The following is a 21,014-nucleotide window of genomic DNA, read 5'->3' as shown; positions in this document are numbered from 1 at the left end:
CTGTGCCTCTGGTGTCTTACCTGTAAGATGGGGCCATGGCAGTCCTCGCCTTCAAGGGCTGTCTGCAGACCAGTGGGCTAGTGTGTGGAAAGAGCTTAGAAGGTTCTAGAACATTCTAGGTGCCTCGTGAATGTTTCCTGCTACTACTTTTTTTTTTTTTTTCAGAGAGAGAGACATGGTCTCACTGTGTTTCATTATGTTGGCCAGGCTGGTCTTGAATTCCTCGCCTCAAGCGATCCTCCTGCCTTGGCCTCCCAAAGTGCTGGGATTACAGGTGTGAGCCACCGGGCCCAGCCTGCTGTTATTGTTGTTGCTGCTGTTGTCCTCAGGAGATGCCCACTGTGCTCCGCAGCTGCTCACAGCGCCGCTTGTTGCAGGCAGGACGTACCTCTGTTCCCAGCTCCACCCACTCCAGCACAGCATGGGCCCTGCCTCAGGGCCCTGCGCGCCTTTGTCTGGGCGGGATAAGGGGCCATCCCGGTGTGCACACTCTGCCTGCAGCCTTCCTGTAATCTGGTGGGAGCGCATGCCTGGCAGAAAGCGTTGCCCACCGGGAAAGGGCACTGTCAGAGGGCTCTGAGGGGCCCTTCTCCGGGGCTGAGTGTCACCCCCTGCCCTCTGTGGGGACTGAGTCCCAGGGCCTGCTGAGACCCTGACTTGGCATCACGGCCCTGCAGGGGCGTCGACCGTCAGCTTTGGGGAGCCACCCCGTGTCCCTCATGTGCATGGTGTCAACTTTTGGCGGGGAGGATTGGGCTCAGCCAGAGGGTGGAAGGGACGAGAGCCATGGGCCCCTGGCACAGCAGACTCCCCATGGCTGCCTCGGGTTTTCATGTCTAGGATGCAGCCTTGGGCTTGAAGTATGTACTGGGGACAGCTGGGCACAGCTAAACCCGGGGAGATCCAGGCCATGGGCAGAGTCAGACAGACCCCGATGGGGAAGGCTGAGGGCCGGGCCATCCTAGCCTGCAGGCCTGGGGATAGGAGAGGCTGGAAGGGGCTGCCATGCTGGGGAGGAGGCTGAGGGGCCTGGAGCCCTGATCCTTAGCAGAGCCGTGTGTAAGGCTGATGAGTGCTCCCTTCTCGCCCCATTTCAGCATCTCCCAAACCTTCTCTACAGAGCAGCCATACGTTTCAGATTAAGGAGAAAAATCAACTTTTTTCTTTAAATAAGAGAACAGAAAGATTGCCAATAAGGAATCTCTGTGTTTCTCTCCCTCTGTCTCTGTCTTCCCTCCTATCTCTGTCTCTGTCTTCCCTCCTATCTCTGTCTCTGTCTTCCCACCTATCTCTGTCTCTTGTTTATTCTCAGTGGACTTAGGGGCGAAGGTGGGCATGGTGGAGAATTTTGCTCAAAGCTTGCAGAAAGGCTGGGCGCAGTGGCTCGTGAATGTAATCCCAGCACTTTGGGAGGCCGAGGAGGGCGAATCACCTGAGGTCAGGAGTTTGAGACCAGCCTGGTCAACATGTCAAAACCCCGTCTCTACTAAAAATATAAAAGTTAGCCAGGTGTGGTGGTGGGTGCCTGTAATCCCGGCTACTTGGGAGACTGAGGCACGAGAATAGCTTGAACCTGGGAGGCGGAGGTTGTAGGGAGCTGAGATCGTGCCACTGTACTGCAGCCTGGACCACAGAGTGAAACTCAGATTCAAAAAAAAAAAACTTGCAGAAAAAGGTTGAAGAGAATTTGTTATGCCTCCCCAGAGTGCACCCTCCCCATGCCATGCGGTCAAGGGACATTTATAACTAGAGAATCCGGGCAGCCTGGGGCTGCACCATGGCTAGAGGCAGAAGACCCATGCCCAGCTCCTTCTCCACAGGGCCCCGGCCACCTGGCAGTTCAGCCGGGACTTCCATTCTGCCAAGGTCCCTGATGTCACTTACATTGATGATGACAGCAAGCTTCCCAATGCCTCTGAGGATATTGTACCAGATTCCTGGGGGAAGAAGAAGTCACAGTTTTAAAGAGCCCTACACTCTCAGTCATTCCAGCTACCAGGCAGCAGTCTGAGCGGGTACCACCCTTGCAGGGGCCAGGCTTTCTCACAGCAGTCAGAGGCTTATGGCAACCAAGAGTCATTTGTTCAGGTCCTGAGGAAGCCAGGCCAGTGCCAGGGCCTGGTGTGTACCAGCCCTTTCTGACAAGCTCACCAGCTTCTAAAAGAGGTGCTTAAAGACAGCTGCTCCCTCAGTGGTTCTGCACAATCTCCCCATGCACCTGTTTAAATGCTAGTTCGCTTAGATGAAACCTTTTTTAATTCCTAAACTGACCAAGATTCAATTGGGGTGCAGCTCCTAAAGCTCTGGCGGAGGATACCTGTATTTAGGGATAGGCCAGACATGGCTTTGCTGTTGAGGAACAGTGCCAGGGCCCCTGGCTGGAGGCACTGAGTCCACAGCAGTGAAGGTTGAACCGTTCCCTATCTAGACACACCCTTGTTCCCTTTACTCCAAGACCCAGGGGTGCACCAAATCACAGATGAACAAGAGGATCACAACACAGCGCCCAGGGCCATGCTGGTCTCTCCATTCGTCTTCCCAGTGGCCATGAGAACTAGCAGGGCCCAGGAAGGAGGCCCTCAATGGCCCAGGAAGCAGGGCCTCAGTGTTGCAATTCCTAGAAATGGTCCAGTGTCCCGGGCTGACCCCCGCCTCACCCTAACTGCACCCTATCATGCCCAGCAATGTTGTGTGCAGCGGTTCGGCTGGGAGCCCAATCCTGGGGCCTGCTCTCTGTGCCCTGAGCCAGCTCTGAGATGGGTGATAACCAGCACTCGTCAGAAACGGCCAGGATGGAGCAAGTGGACATCCTACCTGTGCAGGAGGCTACAGGGAGAGCTGTACATAGCGCTTCTGCCCTAGTAGCTGAGGGGAGCCTCCCAGTCCCCGTTTTTGGGGTGCATGCTGGTGGTCTGCAAAGGCAGCAAGAGCTCAGGCCCCTGTGTGGCCCCGAGCTAGAAACCACAGGCTCAGATGAAACCTCTGAGACCAAGATCTCTTGCTCCCTGGCCCCAGCCAGTGTCAATTCAATGATAGATCACAGTCACAATCATCATCAATCAGAAATGCCCACTGCGGGCTGGGTGTGGTGGCTCACGCCTATAATCCCAGCATTTTGGGAGGCTGAGGTGGGCAGATGACTTGAAGCCAGGAGTTCGAGAGCAGCCTCGCCAATATGGCAAAACCCCATCTCTACTAAAAATACAAAAATTAGCCAGGCGTCGTGGCACATGCCTGTAATCCCAGCTACTCAGAAGGCTGAGGCACGAGAATAGATTGAGCCAGGGAGGCGGAGGTTATGGGGAGCCGAGATCACGCCACTGCATTCCAGCATGGGCAACAGAGAAAGGTTCTGTCTCAAAAAAAAAAAAAAAGAGAAATACCCACTGCAACCCATTGCTGGTAGGCAATTTGAGAAGTGACAGTCACACTTCCCTGACCCCTGTCTCCAGTCCTCGGGCCATGGGGACTATCGCCTTATCCCAGATGAGGAGTTTATTGTAGCTCCGTTTGATCTTTTGCACGAGTGCAGTGGTCCTCAGTTTATTTTTCTGCTGGAGCAGGTGGTGGGGCAGTCACATGGGCTCTGCACACTAGCAGCCCTAAGGCCACCCCATGCTGAATAAAGCACCTGGGAATGCAGGTGAGGGTTGGATGGCACAGCCCTACAAAGTCAGCACTGAAGCACTCCCTTAGGAGTGGAAACACTTCCGACCCGGCTTCTCCTGGCTGGGTGTCAGGGCTGAGGGCCCTCCGTGGACTCCGAGCTCCTAAGGCAGGGTGCTAATTGCACATCCCTGTAGATTCTGGGTCTAGCTTGGTGTCTGGCACATAAGGTGGGTGCTGCTGGGTAAATGTTTGCTGAGTGACTGCACGAGTGCAGAAAGCCCTTTCCAACCAGATTCTGGTGCCGGAGCAGAGGCTGCAAAGCGGTGGCAGGCAGGCCCCATCCAGGCAGCATGGCCATCTTGTTGTGCTTGTCTACTGCTTAAAAATGCAGACGGATGCTTAAAAACCAGGAAAATGTATTTTAAAAAATCAAGACCGGGCGCATTGGCTCACGCCTGTAATCCTAGCACTTTGGGAGGCTGAGGTTGGTGGATCACCTGAGGTCGGGAGTTCGAGATCAGCCTGGCCAACATGGCGAAGCCCCGCTCTATTAAAAATACAAAAATTAGCCGAGTGTGGTGGCGGGCGCCTGTAATCCCAGCTACTCAGGAGGCTGAGGCAGGAGAATCGCTTGAACCCGGGGGGCGGAGGTTGCAGTGAGCCGAGATCGCGCCACTTCACTCCAGCCTGGGAGAATGAACGAGGCTCTGTCTCAAAAAAAAAAAAAAAAAAAAAAAGAAAAAAAAAAGAAAAGAAAAATCGAGACTCCTCGGCTCTGGTCCTGGCTGGCTGGTGCGTCTCCTTGGCAACAGCTGGCTGTGGTGCCCGGGGGCGCCCCCTGCAGGCTGGGCTGTGCACCGCAGCTCTGCTGTCTGTGCTGAGGCCTCCCGGCGACCTCCGACCTCCATTATGGCCGCCTTAGCATCTAAACCCAGACCCCCACTAGAGAGTTGAACGTTTCAAGAAATGTGGGAACAGGCACACTGCTCTGTGGCCATGAAGAACACTCCCAGGACTTAGTCTCACTTGCGCGTGTGGCCCACCTGGCCCTTGGGGCGCTGAGTTTGAGACCTCCGAAGTGGGGTGCTGAGGTGCGGTGGGCCTGGGGTGGAGGTTGAAGTCTTTGGGGCTCCCGAGGGACGTGGCTCCTGAGTTCAGGGCCGTCGAAGTGCAGGACTCAGGCAGGCAAGGGGGTCCGCCCAGGTGATCGCCCAACCGGCCCAGAGAGACAACAGGAAATGGGAGGGATGAGGCGGGGATGAGATGGAGCCGGGAGCGGGGTCTTCCTCGCTTCCGGGCCCCGATGGAGCCTGTCCTGACAGGTCTGCAGGATATCTACGTCCAGGCGGATGGCTCTCCGTGTGGCCCTGCACATCCGCGGGGTGTGTTAGAGAAATGCTGAACCGGCACCCCAGCCCCAGCCCACGGGATCCGCCTCTCCTGGGGTGGGGCTGGGAGCCCCGAGTTATTCTGACGCACATTCCAGGGTGACACTCACTGCTCTAAGGATCTCTGTAAACCAAAAATAAAATTCTAAGGGTCCCCCGAACCATTTGAATGGGGTTCATCGTCTCGGCCAGGGCACCCCCAAATTAACCTGAAAGACTGGTTCAGGCCATGACAGGAAGCAGGGGGCGGGAGGAGGGTCGGACAGGCCTCCTCATGCCCTCCTCCCTTTTGGAATTCAACAAAAGTCGACCAGCATGAACATCAACACAGACCTTGAGTCTGATAAACATTTACAGTCTATTCTCTCTGAAGCCTGTTACCGGGAGGCTTCATCTGCACAATAAAACCTTGGTTTCCAAAACCCCTTATCATAACCCAGACTTTCCTTTCTATTGATAATAACTCAACCAATTGACAATCAGAAATTTTAAAAATAGGCCGGGTGTGGTGGCTCATGCCTGTAATCCCAGCACTTTGGTAGGCAGAGGCGGGCAGATCACCTGAGGTCAGAAGTTGGAGACCAGCCTGGCCAACATGGTGAAACCTTGTATCTACTAAAAATACAAAATTAGCCAAATCTGGTGGCGCACACCTGCAATCCCAGCTACTCAGGATGCTGAGGCAGGAGAATCGCTTGAACCCAGGAGGTGGAGGTTGCATCATGCCATTGCACTTCAGCCTGGGTGTCAAGAGTGAAACTCTTGTCTCCAAAAAAAAAAAAAAAAAGTGTATATATATATATACCCATAATCTGGAAGTCGCCCTGTCCCGCCTTTCTGGACCAAACCAATGTATACCTTAGATGTATCTGATTGATGTTTCATGTCTCCCTAAAATGTATAAAACCAAGCTGTACCACGGCCACCTTGGGCCCATGTTCTCAGGACCTCCTGAGGGCTGTGTCATGGGCCATGGTCACTCATGGCTCAGAATAAATCTCTTCAAATATTTGACAGAGTTTGACTCTTTTCATTGACATCTCTAAGTAAAAGGGGATGCTGTGCTTTTAGAATATTCTTTGGGTGGGCTTCTTTTATGAAAGCCCTGTTGGGGAAAATTGCCTCATTTTTACTTCCCCAAGTAAATTCCTTGGTTTCTTTCCCAAGGAATTTTTCCCACTCTAGGGGATGCTAAGCGCCATTTTCTGGAACAGAACAGGGAGGTATTTGGATAAAGCCAGGTACTTGGCGAGGCCACCACTCCTGCCCACATGCAGTGCCCGGGAGCTGAATGGAGGCTGCACTTTCCCACCAGCAGGCTCTGAAGAACCAGGAAGAAAACAGGAAGTCGAAACCAGGGCTAGGGACCTGGAGCAGATTCCCACGCACGGCTGGGTCCCTGCTGTGACCCGCTGGACGACAGGGTGATCAAGGCACCTGCGCTTTGTGGCACAGCTTCCCCCAGCCACCCAGGGCCTCAGGGGCGCAGGTCACAGGGGCCACAGGGGCCCTCTCTGTCCTCTCAAGGAGCTCGCCTGGGGGCCCTGCACGGATCACAGAAGGAATACAAAAGCCTCTTCAAGGAAAGGTTACGGTTAAGGAACCCATAAACAAACTCGTGAAAGGAGGGCAGATTATGCCTTCAGCCAACCGGACAGGAACCAGGAAGTGAGTAGCTGATCCGTAAGAACTGAGCAAAAACCAGCCAGGTGCAAAGAGTCCAAAGAGGCACGCGGAAGGCCTGCTGCTGGTGGGGACGCCAATGCCTGCAGAGGGACTGCGGGAAGCCAGGGCCACTGAGCTGCTGCTCCCTTTCACCCTGGTGGGTTTGCAAGCTTCATTCAGCCACTGTCTGGGGACAGCCAGAGCTTCTCGAAGCAGAGGGTGCCAGAGCAAACACACGCGCACTGTGATGTGGCAGGTGGCGGGCGGGGGTGGGGTACTGTCGGCTGCCTGAGCATCAGGCCTTTGTGAGGACTCAGTGTGGGCTGCACTCTTCTTTTCTTTTCTTTTCTTTTCTTTTTTCTTTTCTTTTTTTAGCTGTACCTGCTGGAATGGGATGGCACTCTTTTCTTTACTGCCATGGGACAGGGAGCTCCAGAATTTCCGAGGACTGCAGGGAGAACCTGGTGAGCAGACCCAGGGTCCCCTTTTGGGGTCTTCGGTATACAGGGTGAGGTTTTCAGAGGCAAACCCTCTACGCATGCAGGAGGCCCAGGGCTTGAGCTCTCTGGTTCCTGCTCGGCACTGTTACCGCCTGGGCCTCGGCCTCCTATCTGGAAAGTGGGACTGAGGGAGGATTCACCCAGGCTTCCTCCCGGGGTTCCCTGGAGGACACAACAGGCTGAGGTTCTGAGGAAAGTTCATGTTGGAGGCAGCTCTGTGATGCCAATTTTCAAAGCAGCGCTATGCTGAGGCACAGCTTGGGGTGCAATCTCGCCTTGCTCTTGAGAGCGGGTGTGCAAAGACGGCCATGGTGGCCTGTTTTTCGACAGCCTCTTTCTCACTTGTCCCTAAAAGCTAAAAATGGCTTTTTAAATTTATTTTTTAGGTGGAGTCTCGCTGTGTTGCCCAGGCTGGAGTGCAGTGGTGCGATCTCGGCTCACTGCAACCTCCGCCTCCCGGGTTCATGCGATTCTCCTGCCTCAGCCTCCTGAGTAGCTGGGACTACAGGTGCATGCCAACATTAAAAATTAAAAATGGCTTGGCCAGGCACGGTGGCTCACGCCTGTAATCCCAGCACTTTGGGAGGCCGAGATGGGTGGATCATGAGGTCAGGAGATCGAGACCATCCTGGCTAACATGGTGAAACCCCGTCTCTACTAAAAAAATACAAAAAAATCAGCCAAGCGTGGTGGCGGGCACCTGTAGTCCCAGCTACTCAGGAGGCTGAGGCAGGAGAATGGCGTGAACCCGGGAGGCGGAGTTTGCAGTGAGCCGAGATTGTGCCACTGCACTCCAGCCTGGGCAACAGAGTGAGACCCCATCTCAAAAAAAAAAAAAATTAAAACTGCCACAACAAAAATTTGCATGCCCAGCTAATTTTTGTATTTTTAGTAGAGACGCAGTTTCACCATATTGGCCAGGCTGGTCTCAAACTCCTGACCTCAGGTGATCCACCTGCGTCGGCCTCCCAAAGTGCTGGGATTACAGGCGTGAGCCACTGCGCCCGGCCCTGGCCTTTTTCACTTTAAAGTGTGAAATGAAAAATGTATGAAAAGCGTAGCCTTTGGGTAAGAACCATTGCCTAAGACTTGAGGACATTGTCTCTGGGTCCAGGAAGCCTAAAACGTTCACTCTCTGGCTCTTAACAGAAAACAAGTGCAAACCTCTGACCTAGAGCACCAGCAAATCAGCACTCTACCCTTGCTCCACCTCTGGCCATGGAGGGCTGTGGTATGAGGGGCAAGGGGCTCACCCGTGGCCTCAGCAGACGCAAAACAGGGATGCTGGTGGTTAGCAGGGTCTTCGGAGGGTTGGTTAGCTCATGGCTTTTAAAGCCTTTGAAATTTTTAAACAAAATCTCACAGGGCAGTTTAGTATAGAGTGTCTGTGTTCTGAGTCTTCATTACCTGGGTCACCCAGAGAAGAGGTGATGTAGGGAAGCAAAAGTGTCCAAACACAGTGCCATGACCTCTTACCCAGGAGCCCTGGGATGTCCCTCCCTACAAAGCACCAATGTTTCCAGGCCCCTTTCAAAGCCAGGGCCTTACGCAGTGCAAATGTGAAGCTGCCGGGTGAATCACTGCTATCTGATGGTCTTTGACCTGTGAAAATGACGATTTCATCTCTTTTAGTCTACAAGACAGCCAAGCGTAAGAGAAGCCAGAGTTGAAGTTATCTTGGAACCAGACAGTGGAGGATTGGTGAATTTGGTCACCAGTGGATGCTGGGCTTGCCACTAGGGGCCAAGGTGTGGATCAAGGAGCTTCCAGCCAGAACCGCTAACAACTTAAGGAGAAAACACGTACTGGGGTGAGATGATCTGAAGGGTGTTTCCAACGAGAATGACACAAATACCAAGGACTGGAGAAGCCCTTGGAACAATTGATAAAGCTTCCCACATTTTTTTTTTTTTGAGATGGAGTCTCACTCTGTCACCCAGGCTGAAGTGCAATCGCATGATCTCGGCTCACTGCAACCTCTGCCTCCTGGAATCAAGGAATTCTCCTGCCTCAGCCTCCTGAGTAGCTGGGATTACAGGCTCCCACCACACCTGGCTAATTTTGTATTTTTAGTAGAGACAGGGTTTCACCATGTTGGTCAGGCTGGTCTCGAACTCCTGACCTCAGGTGATCCACCTGCTTCCGCCTCCCAAAGTGCTGGGATTACAGGCATGAGCCACTGCGCCTGGTCAATTTCCCACATTTTCTTAAGATTATGTTTGGCCTACAAAAGCTCAACCCAAAGCTATCTTATCAAGCTGGTATGGAATCTTTATTTCAGCAAGGTGATATCCCCAATATGTAATTCAACCTTTTGTTTATTCCAATAATTAGTACGCAGGTGCTATTTTAACTAAAATTGTGTTAAATTTGAGATAAAATCAATGTATTTTTGTAATTTTGTTTTCACCCTGAAAATTGGTCCTACTATAAGACAAGATGGGATCACCCTTCCTGTGATGGCTGGCTCCGGTGGAAGCCTGCGTGGGGCTCCCATACCCCTCACCCTCCTGGACAGATCGTCACCCTGTCTCTGCTTAAATGCCTCTGGTAACAGGGAGCTCACTAATCCACAAGGAAGTCTGCTCTGTTTTTGACACCTCTGACTATTAAAGTTACTCTTTTTCTTTTCTTTTCTTTTCTTTTTTTTTTTTTTTTTAAGACAGGTTCTCTCTCTGTTGCCCAGGCTGGAGTGTAGTGGCATGATCACGTCTCACTGCAGCCTTGACCTCCTGGGCTGACATGATCCTCCTGCCTCAGCCTCCCAAGTAGCTGGGACCACAGGTCTGTGCCACCACATCCAGCTAAATTTTACTTGTTTTTTTGAGACAGGGTCTCACTCTGTTGCCCAGGCATGGGCATGGCTCACTGCAGCCACAACCTATGTGGGCTCACTCATCCTCCCACCTCAGCCTCCTGAGTAGCTGGGACTACAGGAACGCACCATCACGCCCAGCTCATTTTTGTGTTTTTTTGTAGAGACAGGGTTTCGTCATGTTGCCTAGGCTGGTCTTGAACTCCTGAGCTCAAGCTATGTATCCTCCTGGGCCTCCCAAAGCACTGGGATTACAGGAGTGAGCCACGGTGCTCAGCCCAAGTTATTCTTTACGCTGACCTTAAATATACATTCTCCCAAACTCACACCCCTTCTCCACATGGTCAAGGTGTCTTAGTGACGGGGTGAAAAAGCTGGAGTTGAGTTGCATCTTGGCTTTGATCCCTACAGGCAAGCCATGCAATGACTGGGACTGTTCTTCCCTGTCTACAGATGGGGGCTCCTTCCTTCCTTTTCTCTTTTGTGAACATTAAATGATGCCATGACATGCCATGTAGGAGGGCACTTGCTGAACAGCCAACACTCCTTTCCCGTTGGTCTTGCCCTGGCTCTGGGGGTCACACAATTGCTACAGGTGGGTGTCGCCAGCCATCAGAGAGGAAATGTAGTCTCTTGTACCTCCTAAAGCAGCAGGTTGTTGAGACATTCAGATGTCTGGGACCCACTCTTTCCAAACATCCTCTGTGACCAAGGCATCTTGGGAGGGGAAGGGTGGGGACAGGGCTAAGCGAGCCTCCACATCTTGTGTCACCTGCCCCCAGGCTCCACCCGGCAAAGGCTGAGTGAAGAGCCCCAGGAGGGACACCTGGCCAGCTCTGGCTCTAGCTTCTGGAGAGGAGCAACCCCCTCCCCAAACCCAGCACGCACTCGGAACCGGTTCTGCCGGCCCGTGGGGTCACTCACCGATGTCTTTGGCTCTGACAGCTACCGGCCTTCGGAGCTCAGTGACAAACTTTTTGGCGTCCAGGCGGATCTCGATGATGTTGTTCAGCAGCGCAAACAGTGGGGCCAGGGGGAAGGAGGCGACAAACAGGGTGACGAAGCCAAACTGGATGACTGCAGAGAGAGCCCAGTGCTAGTCAGCACCCCGTGAGCCACAGCCCATAAGGGGGGACTCCACCACCCCGTGTGCCGAGCCGCACAGGTCTGGCTGCCGCCCCACCTCCAACGAGCCCACCTGCATGGACCCCACCTGCAGATGCATTAGATGAGCTCTTGGGATGGACCCTCCATGACCCTGGGTGACCTCCAGGCCAGGAGTGGGCTGAAGGCAGAATTCCAAATTTTGCTCTGAATCTCAGTGTTTGACTCTTGAGTAACGGGAATGCTCCCTTATCTATGGCTAATCTTTTGTGAGATAGTCTCGATCTGTCACCACGCTGGAGTACAGTGGCACAACCATGGCTCACTGCAGCCTTGACCTCCCAGGCTCAATGAATCCTCCCACTTCAGCCTCCCGGGTAGCTGGGACCACAGGCATGCACCACTATGACTGCTTAATTTTTGTATTTTTTGTAGAGCTGGGATTTTGCTATGTTGCCTGGGCTGGTCTCAAACTCCTGAGCTCAAGTCATCCACCCAAAGTGCTGGGATTCCAGGCATGAGCCACCTCGCCAGCCCATGTCAAATTTTAAAAAATCATCGCCAAAAGGAAAAGGACCATCGTGAGCTCAAAGGCCCAGCCTGTGGTCATCCCCCTGCCCATGCTGGGAAGGGACGTGGCAGTGGCCCTGCTGCTTCCATCATGGGGGCTCCCTGGGACCTGGGGGACCTGCCTGCATGGCTGAATCTTCCAGAGCCCAAACTTCCCCTTGCATCAGGACTCCTGGATCCGGGTGGGGACCCACTGCCCAGGACAGTCCCTCGCCTCTGCCCCTGCGGCCCTCCCCCTGGGGATCATCCCACCCGGGAGCTGCCTCTGGGGCTTCTCTGGCTTTGGATGCTGCATCCAGCATGGGGCTAGGCTCTAGGAGAAGGTCAGGAAAAGGTTTCTGAGTGGAACTGAGCAGGAAAGCTGGTTCGGGAACTGCACAGCAGGACCCAGTCCAAGGGCGTTTGGTGCCAGGCGGTAAACAAGGAAGCCAGCAGAATGTCACCGTGTGCCTGGCGGGCTGAGTGTGGGCATTGTTAGCATGTGGGGTGGGCCGTGCGGGGTGCCCTGAGTGTGAGCACTGTTAGCAGGTAGGATGGGCCATGGCGGGGAATGGCCTGCAAGTTCTCTCCCTGGGCTGTCTTGCTAGCCCTGGCAAGGTGGGCTGAGTGGGAGGCCTCTGGTCCTGCCTGAGGCCCCTGGAGGGGATGAGGCATTGCTTATGTGGGGCGGTGTGTGCTGTGCATGAGGGCCAGGGGCTGCTGAGGCCTGAGGCTGTGGGTCACTCAGCAGGGTGGGCTTCCTCACTTCCGAGAGGCGCTGCCTACTCTGGCACTAAGGGTATGACCAGGGAGCTGGAGGCGCTGCCAGGGCTGGGGCCTGGGAGGGAGGGTGCAGGGGGGCGGGGAGGTGGGGCATTTCCAGATGAGCTTGTTCTCCCCATCTATCCACATCTGTGGCTTGAGACTTCCTGGGAGGAGCAGACTGGCAGCCCATGGGGTGGGGAGAAAGTCAGTGGGTGTGGAAATGTGCCTTGGTCAGTGGGGGCAGTGTGGGGAACGGGTGAGCCACTCCCCGTGTATGTGGGCAGGAGGCGCCTGCTCCAGAAGTCCCCTTTGTCCAAACCCGTCAGGAACTCGGGACGTGATGTCCAGCCACTAGGAAAATAAATCCAGGGAAGGGGCTGCCACTCTCGCGGCCCACTGCAGGCTGTGCTCGTGTCTTGGGCTCTATTCTCCCTAGGGTTTCCTGTGGAAGGAGCGACCCTGCAGGCAGGGGAAGCCACCTCCCAGACCCCGTCCCTCCTGGCCACATGGCCAATGCTGAGTTTAAACAGCTGGGAGCCATTTTCTGCCTACCGGCCTGACCCTGGTTCAGCTTGGACTTTATTCCAGGAGAAAACAGAGAGGAGCCACAGAACGCCACACTGAAGATTCCTCTCCTCCTGAGTCAATGGCAAGGTGCTCCTTGCACGATTGTCTGGGGAGCCAGGAGCGACATATGTGGACAATTCGGCTAACAGGAGGGGCAGACGGCAGCACTTGTGGTGAAATTAAACAGAAACGCTCCCCACCCTCTAAGGTGCCCTTACCCCCAGGCCCTTTTTAAAAATGCAGCCTGCCAGGTCTCACCTCCAGCAGACCAGGAACAAGCCTGGGAACGGGCATTTTAGAGAAGTTGACCTTGGTGGCCAGGGCACTGCATGCTGGGACCCCCCCTCTGCAGGAGTCTTCCTGACTGCCTTTGTTCATCCATTCAGTCAGCAAACACACATTGAGCACCCACTGTATACCTGGACCTGCTCTAGGGGTAGGGCTATGGGATGAGGAACAAGAGAGGGTGAGGCTGCCGTCCTACCGGGGGGAGACAGAAGAGGGATGACGGGGTGAGGCTGTCTGCTGGGGAGCAGAAACACCAAGCAGAGGAGGGGTGGGGGTCGTGGCCGTGTCGGGGAGGGGCTGCCCCTTTCAAACACAGTGATCAGGGAAGACCCCTCTGTTGGGGGACATTCTGAGTAGAGCCTGGGAGGCAGGGAGAGAGTGAGCCATGCAGGTATTTGGGAGAGGGCATTCCAGCAGGGCACATCTCGTGCAAAGGCCCTGGGGCGGCCTGAGCTCCACGGGGCTGGGGAGCAGCAAGGAGGCCAGCATGTGCAGAGTGCAGGAGGCAGGAGGGAGAGGTAAGTGACCAGGTCAGGGAGAGTCCAGAGCTGTGCGGACCACACCTGGCCTCTTCCCAGTTCTCTTTGGCCACCCCCAAAAGGTATGTGCCACCTCTCGGCATCCTCCTGGCCAGCCACGTGATTGAGGGGGGTAAGGCTCGATCCCTGGGTCTCCTTTGAGACGCCTGCTCTGTGCTGGGGGCAGCTGTCGCCAGCCCACAGGTGAGCAAGTCGTGGCTCCTGCAACTCAGGAGCTCACCACCAGGAAGGGGAGATGAGTCATGGAACCAAAGTAGGATGCTTGAAGGGCCTTGGAGCTGAGAGGAGGGACCTTGGATTGTGGGGGGTTTCAAGTAAGGACGATCTTGCAGCTTAGCAGGGCCGGGCCCTCGGCTGGTGAGGAGACTAAGGGAGGAGGAAGAGCTGCACAACCCAGGCTGTGTCGGGCTGCGCTGATGGAGACCGTGCCTGGGGACCGTGCCTGGGGACTGTGGCTGGGGACCATACCTGGGGACTGTGGCTGGGGACCATGCTTGGGGACCGTGCCTAGGGACGGTGGCTGCTTGACCTGGGCCTCTGGAACACAGGACTCCATCCAGAGCAGCCATGCTCACCGACCCAAGGGGGTGGCAGCACTAGGATCCCAGGGTCTGCATCTCTCTTCTCCCTGCCTGATGCTTATGGAGGGACGCTGGGCACCGCAGGGTTGGGGGCATCATGCCCCTGCAGCCCTTCCCCACTCCAGGTGGCATGCTGGCCTGTTTCTATCCTGATGTCACCTGCCTGCCCCGGCCATCACTCACTCATTTCCATGTACTCTGGGGTGAGGCCCGCGAAGGGCTCCAGGTTGTAATCCACCTCGTACCGCTGTTTCCTCTTCACACACTCCTCGTGGTCAGGGGGGCTCTGCTGCTTCAGCTTCAGGTAGCGGATGAGCTTCTTCATCTTCCTGAGAGATGAGACATCATGCAGTTAGGTTTGCAGGAGGGTGAATTTGGGGGCTTGGGTCTGGCACCTCTAGTGATGTGTCTTTTTTTCTTTTTGAGACAGAGTTTCACTCTTTTTGCTCAGGCTGGAGTGCAGTGGCCCTGTCTCAGCTCACTGCAACCTCTGCCTCCTTGGTTCAAGCAATTCTCTTGCCTCAGCCTCCCGAGTAGCTGGGACTATAGGCACATGCTGCCACGCCTGGCTAATTTTTTGTATTTTAAGTAGAGATGGGGTTTCACAGTGTTGCCCAGGCCGGTCTTGAACTCCTGAGCTCAGGCAATCCGCCCATCTGTGCCTCCCAAAGTACTAGGATTATAGGCATGAGCCACCGCGCCTGGCCTCCAGTGATATTTCTAAGTTTCTGCTTTAAATCCAGAATTTACTTGTTTGCCATCATTTCTTTGTCGATGATCTCTTCTGCCCTTTCCCCAAAAGGCAGGGGGCAAGTGTCATGGCTTTGCTGGCTACAGAAGGAAACGGAGGTGCAGGGAGGGCAAACGACCACTTGTGAACCACAGGAGGGCCCAGCAGGCATCAGGGACACAAGAACAGTGGAGGCTGGTCATGCCCAAGTGGACTCTTGGGGAAGGACACAGATCATGGAAAATGGCCCGACAAGTTCTTGACTCCAGAGACCCAGCAGCCACTGGGGAGGTGGGAATGGGACATGGATTTCCGAAGGGTACAAGGTAACAACGAGGCCAAGTCCCCCAGCCTCCATCTGGAAACCCTGGGGAGCCAGCATCGGGCTTGGGGGCACCTGGTGGTACCCCCCCATCCTCAGCCAGCATGGGGAGTGGGGTGTCATTCTGACTTCCTCTCCCTCCTTCGTCCAAAATGGGGTGGCTTTATTTTTTAATGTTTTTTATTATTTATTTATTTTTTTGAGACGGAGTCTCGGTCTGTCGCCCAGGCTGGAGTGCAGTGGTGCGATCTCGGCTCACTGCAACCTCCACCTCCTGGGTTCAAGGGGTTCTCCTGCCTCAGCCTCCCAGGTAGCTGGGACTACAGGCGCCCGCCACCACGCCCGGCTAATTTTTGTATTTTTAGTAGAGGTGGGGTTTCACCATGTTGGCCAGGCTGGTCTCGAATTATTGACCTCAAGTGATCCGCCTGCCTCAGCCTCCCAAAGTGCTGGGATTACAGTTTATGAGCCACTGTGCGCGGCCCTGTTTTTATTTTTTAAAACAGGGTCTCACTCTGTGGCCCATGCTAGAGTGCAGTGGTACAATCATAGCTCACTGCAGCTTGCAACTCCTGGGCTCCAGCGATCCTCCCGCCTCAGCCTCCTGAGTAGCTGGGACTACAGGCACGCACCAGCACACCTGGCTAACTTTTTATTTTTTTGTAGAGGTGCAGTCTCGCTTTGTGCTTAGGCTGGTCTTGATTTCCTAGGCTCAAATGGTCCTTCTGCCTCAGCTTCCCAAAGTGCTGGGATTACAGGCGTCAGCCACCATGCCTGGCCTGGGGTGGCTTTTGCCCCACCTTCCCTCTGTGTCCTCCTTCTCTCCCTGCTTCTAGTGCCCCCATCTTGGTTGAGGCCCCGCGTCCACCCAGACCCCCGCAGGAGCCACCCACACACCCCTCCGCCTGGCCCCGCCCCTGCCGCTCTAACCCGCTGCAGCACACTCACGGGATGCCGATCTCGAACAGGTTGTTCTGGATCAGCTGTTTCCCCAGCATGATGATGCTGAGCTGGATGCATAGCTCCATCAGGCAGCCCCCTGGCGCACACTGTGGACAGAGAGCAGCATCAGCCACGCTACAGGGACACCGAGAGAGGGACCCCAGCCCTGCAGGGAGGCCCACCCTCATGCTGTGGGTTGACCTGCGTCCTCCAAAAAAAGACGCTCAGGTTCTAATCCCCGCCACCTGGGAACGTGGCCTTATTTGCAAAAAGGGTCTTTGCAAATGTAGTCAAGTCAGGGTGTTTTCATGCTGGGGTGTTTTCAGATGGGGCGCCCATCTGAGGACTGATGTCCTCAGAAAAAGAGAAGGCGCGGGCACAGAGGGAAGAGGCAGCGTGAACATGGCGGCAGAGGGTGGAGAGGCAAGTAAAGGAACCATGAGGGCTTCCGTAGTCCCCAGAAGCTGGGAGAGGCAAGGCAGGTCCTCCCCTAGAACCCTTGAAGGGAACACAGCCCGGCTAACACCTGGATGTTGCACTTCCGACCTTCAGAACTGTGAGACCCCCATCTCTGTTACTTTAAGTCTGTGGGATCGAGTTGCGGCAGCCCCAGGAAACGGACACACTCCGCCTACAGGCTGCTGTGCTTGGGGCTGTGGATGGGAGCGGGGAGCGCACTGGGAGGGAGTAAGCAGGGGTGGGGCAGGGCCTCAGGGCGCCTCCTTTTTTCCAGGGCCACTGGCCGGTCCCATGCACCAGTCAGCATCCACTGGCTCTGCACCACCATGGCAGGCTGAGCCCCACAGGAGGCAGCAGCCACCCCTCTGAGGCCTAATGTCCCTGACTCAGTGGGCCTTTGCCACCTTAGGCCTGGGACCCGGCAAGCAGGTGACAGTCAGAAACCTATGTGGGCTGGAAGTTTAACTTGTCCAAGCAAAGGGAACACCAGTGATGCATGGTGACCCCTGAGGCACAGTAAACTTGTTCTGCATTCCAAATAAAACCTAACAAACCCTACACTTGTCTTGGAGAGCCATGCTTTTGGAAAAAGCAATTACACCATCTGCTTTATTATATGACTTTCTGACCCGGGACGAGTGTGACAGGGGATCATCATGTAAAAAGGAAAGAGCATTTCAGAAGCTTGGCGCAGATGCCCATTACTGTGGAGGAGGCCCGTGTCTTGGGCTGCCCAGGGGCCTGCATTCAGGTAGTGGAACCTCTAGGCTGCACTCCAGACAGCCAGATAATCCTGTACCTGATGTCCACCCCATCCTCGATATCTTATTCCACAGGGTCTTTTTCAAGAAGACTCACCCTCTTATTTTCTGATCAGCTGAATTACTCTGTGGGTTGGAAATGCTGAGACCAGAACCACTGATAGGCTCTGAAGCCCCGGCTTGGTCTGATGGAGCCCCTGGTTGTGGGACAAACAGTGGAGCAAGTCCATGGGCCGTGACAGAGGCTGAACCAGGCTGGCACAACCAGACCTTCTATGGCCAGGATCGCTGGGCAGAAAGCACATGCCACCAGCATGGTGTTTGAGGGTAAAGAGACAAGCATTTCAATGTCGAGTAAAAAAAAAAGTTAGCCAAGTTCTGTTTTGTCCTCATTAATTCATCTTCTTTTTTTTTTTTTTGAAATGGTTCCTTGCTCTGTCACCCAGGATGAAGTGCAGTGGCGAAATCTCAGCTCACTGCAACCTCCATCTTCCAGGTTCAAGCGATTCTCATGCCTCAGCCTCCCGAGTAGGTGGGATTACAGGCATGCACCACCACACCCGGCTAATTTTTTGCGTTTTTAGTAGAGATGGGGTTTCACCATGTTGGCCAGGCTGCTCTCGAACTCCTGACCTCAGGTGATCCACGAGTCTCGGCCTCCCAAAGTGCTGGGATTACAGGCATGAGCCACTGCACCCGTCCCTCATTAATTCATCTTAACCAGAAGAGAAATATTCAGTCTCACAAAAAAAGAAAAGAAAACCAGATGTTGTGTTTTTCTTTCATTAACTCTACAGCGACTTTATCCTTCTAGGTGATTCTATATGAACACACCAGATAAGATTAAAGCCCACCCCACCACATCAGGGGAACAGAAAAGTTTCCAGCAAGAAGGAAAGAAACCTGCTGCTCTTTGCTGAACAAATGTGCTGCAGCTGCTTCTCCCAAGTGCATGGTGTAGACAAATCGTAAGCAAGACAGAAGGGGCTGCCAGAGATGAATAAAATTTCGGTTACCTCTTCCATTCGGAAGGAACGGAAAATGTACACGTAGTCGCCCGGGCGTCCAACAAACCTGAAACGATGGGGGAGGTCGTTAGAGAAAAGATGAGCCCCTGGCTCAGCTCGGGGAGAGACCCCCAAGTGGGGACTGTGCAGCGTGTGAGTCCTGCAGGCTGAGCCTCGAGGGTATCTACAGGCGGCTCTCCCTGCCTGGTGCATCTGCTAAAAGATGACCACAGTGGTTTTCATTGGTCAAAGGTTGGATTCCCAAACCCAGAGAGGGGTCAGAAAAAGGAACTTCTTCAATGAGAGGCCACGAGACTGAGAGGCAGCGGGAAGGGGCCCAGGAGGGGATTAAGGCAAAGACCACCCGGCCTGAAGACTGCAAGCTGCTGCGCTAGCTGCCTGGGACTCAGGATGTGCCGCTGGCACGGTGGGGTCCATGGACAGCTGGCACAGAAGCACTCTGGGGACCTTGGGCAGCTGGGGCAGGTGGTGGCCAAAGGCCACCCTGGGTGGGGATAGACAACCTCTCGGCTTTCTAGGGGCTGGTGTGGGGCGTGTAGGCTTCCAAGAGCTTGCTCCATCCTGGATGCGCTCAGGGGGCACTGGACCCCTTGGCGGGGCCCTGGGACCCTGGGCCAGGAGGGCGGGCATGGCACTGGTGAATCACATGATGTGGAGGAGGCAGCCTTTTTGGGGGCTCTGAGATCAGACCAGCCAGTCCCTTGCAGGAGTGGTGGTGGGGGTGGGGGGCATCATTGTGGGTGGGCCGCAGGCCCCACCGCAGCCTGGGATGGCTCCAGAGGGCCCAGGCGTGGAAGGTTTCACTCCTCCAGGAGCTGTGAAGAGGGCTCAAGTGGCCAGCAGCCGCATTTCCACACCCTCCTCTCTCCTTGTCCCCACTTTGTGGACTCCTCCCTACGTGGACTCCTCCCTACCTGCCGTGGGAGCACCTGGAGCTGGCTTCTGGGGTTCTCTGCCTGGACTTCCTGCTGCTGGAGCTTCCCACTGCCTGGAGTCCCTGGGGTCCCCTCTGCCCAGGGTCCTCACTGCCTGGGGTCCCCACTGCCCGGGGTCCCCACTGTCCGGGGCCCTCACTCCCGGGTCCTCACTCCCCGGTCCTCACTGCCTGGGGTCCCCACTGCCCGGGGTCTGCACTGTCTGGGGTCCCCACTGCCCAAGGCCCTCACTCCCGGGTCCTCACTGCCCGAGGTCCTCTCTGCCCAGAGTCCTCACTGCCCGGGGCCCTCACTCCCGGGTCCTCACTGCCCGGGGCCCTCACTGCCGGGTCCTCACTCCCCGGTCCTCACTGCCTGGGGTCCCCACGGCCCAGGGTCCTCACTGCCCAGGGCCCTCACTCCCGGGTCCTCACTCCCCGGTCCTCACTGCCTGGGGTCCCCACTGCCTGGGTTCCCTGCCACCTGGACTCCCTGCTGCCCAGGGTCCCGCTGCTCTGGAGCCTCAGCAGGGCCCAGGCCTTCTCCCTGACCCTCTTTGGCTGCGGGTGCCACGGTGTCTGCCCTGCCCTGGGCTCCAGGTGCCCCCAACCTGTGGGGAGGGAGAGCCCTCTCCTGGACCTGGGAGAAGCGAGGTTGGGGAAAGGCTGAAGATGTCCCTACCGGCCTTTGAAGAACGCCACGTAAAAGATGGGGGTGTAGGAATTCACAAACTTCAGCAGGAAAGCCTTGAAGATCAGCCTCTCCTCAAAGCTTTTCTCCGTCTTTGGGACCTCTAGAGGGAGGGGTAGGATGATACTGAGGCTGTGGCTGGGATGGCCCCCAACAGCCTGGTCCAGCTTCTGGCTGGCCACTGGCACAGTCACTCAGTCGGCTCTCATAGGCGCACCATGGCCTGTGCTCAGGATACCCATTGAGAACCAGGGAGCTGGGGCCCAGAGAAGTTAAGCAACAAACTCAAGGATGCACAGCAAGAGGCAGGCGACTCCAGCTGCCTGAGTCCAGGCCACAGTACCTGGAACATGGGCACTCACCGATCTTGGTGAGCCATCGGGCTATGCAGCCATACACCTCGTCCAGGAGGATGATGACCACTAGGTTGATGATGACTGCGGTGGCTGTGACTGTGACCCGGATGTTGGACCGCACGGAGGGGGAGGAGTTCATGGCCAAGGCGGCGGCCATGGAGATTCTGTAGATGATGACGCCGAGGACGATGGCAAACGTCACTGCAATCTGCAGGGGGGAAAGGGGCACTCTTGGTTGGGGGCCCACCCAGGACCTTCCTGGGCCTGCCCCATCTGCTCCCTCAGTCCAGCTGTCCCCCAACCTTCCCGCTCTTCTGCTTCAAAACAAGCACTGACATTTCTTGGGCACCTGCCAAATGCCAGGGGCTTTCTGTGCATTAACCCACCAGAGACAGATGGATGAGGGGCTAGTTTCTGTTCCATGGACAAGGACACTGAGGTT

At 55.4% G+C, this 21,014-nt stretch overlaps 1 protein-coding gene and 1 long non-coding RNA gene across 23 annotated transcripts in view, besides 4 other annotated features; one reads left to right on the top strand and one right to left on the bottom strand.

Annotated features, from left to right (window-relative positions):
• Window positions 1-21,014, bottom strand: part of ANO1 (anoctamin 1) — a 223,534-nt gene that overhangs the window by 7,590 nt on the left and 194,930 nt on the right. For 20 of the 21 annotated variants that reach the window (NR_030691.2, XM_047427185.1, NM_001378092.1 and 17 more), the window contains 7 exons: window positions 20,579-20,780; window positions 20,208-20,319; window positions 18,601-18,658; window positions 16,371-16,471; window positions 14,554-14,699; window positions 10,902-11,054; window positions 1,885-1,937 (listed from right to left, as the gene is read on the bottom strand). Coding sequence is in view for 20 of the 21 variants with exons in the window: in XM_047427185.1 (XP_047283141.1) it covers window positions 1,885-1,937; window positions 10,902-11,054; window positions 14,554-14,699; window positions 16,371-16,471; window positions 18,601-18,658; window positions 20,208-20,319; window positions 20,579-20,780 (825 nt within the window). In the remaining variant the exon portion in view is untranslated. Of the gene's footprint in view, window positions 1-1,884; window positions 1,938-10,901; window positions 11,055-14,553; window positions 14,700-16,370; window positions 16,472-18,235; window positions 18,659-20,207; window positions 20,320-20,578; window positions 20,781-21,014 lie in introns of those variants that run through there. The other variant, XM_011545131.3, reaches the window with a different exon arrangement.
• Window positions 6,705-9,790, top strand: LOC101928473 (uncharacterized). 2 transcript variants are annotated; one of them, XR_950276.3, is made up of 4 exons: window positions 6,705-6,819; window positions 7,038-7,126; window positions 8,795-8,972; window positions 9,597-9,790. It is a non-coding gene; the product is annotated as an uncharacterized LOC101928473 (long non-coding RNA). The 2 variants fall into 2 exon arrangements; XR_247259.4 differs by lacking the exon at window positions 9,597-9,790 and having other exon boundaries at window positions 8,795-9,584.
• Window positions 6,783-7,488: an enhancer, noted in NCBI's record as "H3K4me1 hESC enhancer chr11:70020559-70021264 (GRCh37/hg19 assembly coordinates)". NCBI's record gives its function as "activates a minimal SCP1, AML or CMV promoter by ChIP-STARR-seq in naive H9 embryonic stem cells {active_cell/tissue: H9 hESC(naive)}" and the evidence as "EXISTENCE:reporter gene assay evidence [ECO:0000049][PMID:30033119]".
• Window positions 10,407-10,906: an enhancer, noted in NCBI's record as "H3K4me1 hESC enhancer chr11:70017141-70017640 (GRCh37/hg19 assembly coordinates)". NCBI's record gives its function as "activates a minimal SCP1, AML or CMV promoter by ChIP-STARR-seq in naive H9 embryonic stem cells {active_cell/tissue: H9 hESC(naive)}" and the evidence as "EXISTENCE:reporter gene assay evidence [ECO:0000049][PMID:30033119]".
• Window positions 10,907-11,408: an enhancer, noted in NCBI's record as "H3K4me1 hESC enhancer chr11:70016639-70017140 (GRCh37/hg19 assembly coordinates)". NCBI's record gives its function as "activates a minimal SCP1, AML or CMV promoter by ChIP-STARR-seq in naive H9 embryonic stem cells {active_cell/tissue: H9 hESC(naive)}" and the evidence as "EXISTENCE:reporter gene assay evidence [ECO:0000049][PMID:30033119]".
• Window positions 19,248-19,414: a silencer, noted in NCBI's record as "fragment chr11:70008633-70008799 (GRCh37/hg19 assembly coordinates)". NCBI's record gives its function as "represses an EF-1alpha promoter that drives an FKBP-Casp9 reporter gene in an ReSE screen in K562 erythroleukemia cells {active_cell/tissue: K562}" and the evidence as "EXISTENCE:reporter gene assay evidence [ECO:0000049][PMID:32094911]".

The sequence above is a fragment of the Homo sapiens genome, chromosome 11 (assembly GCF_000001405.40).
Source record: "Homo sapiens chromosome 11, GRCh38.p14 Primary Assembly".
Classification (NCBI taxonomy): domain Eukaryota; kingdom Metazoa; phylum Chordata; class Mammalia; order Primates; family Hominidae; genus Homo; species Homo sapiens.
Note: the sequence above shows the minus strand (reverse complement) of the source record. Positions and strands in the feature narration are given on the sequence as shown.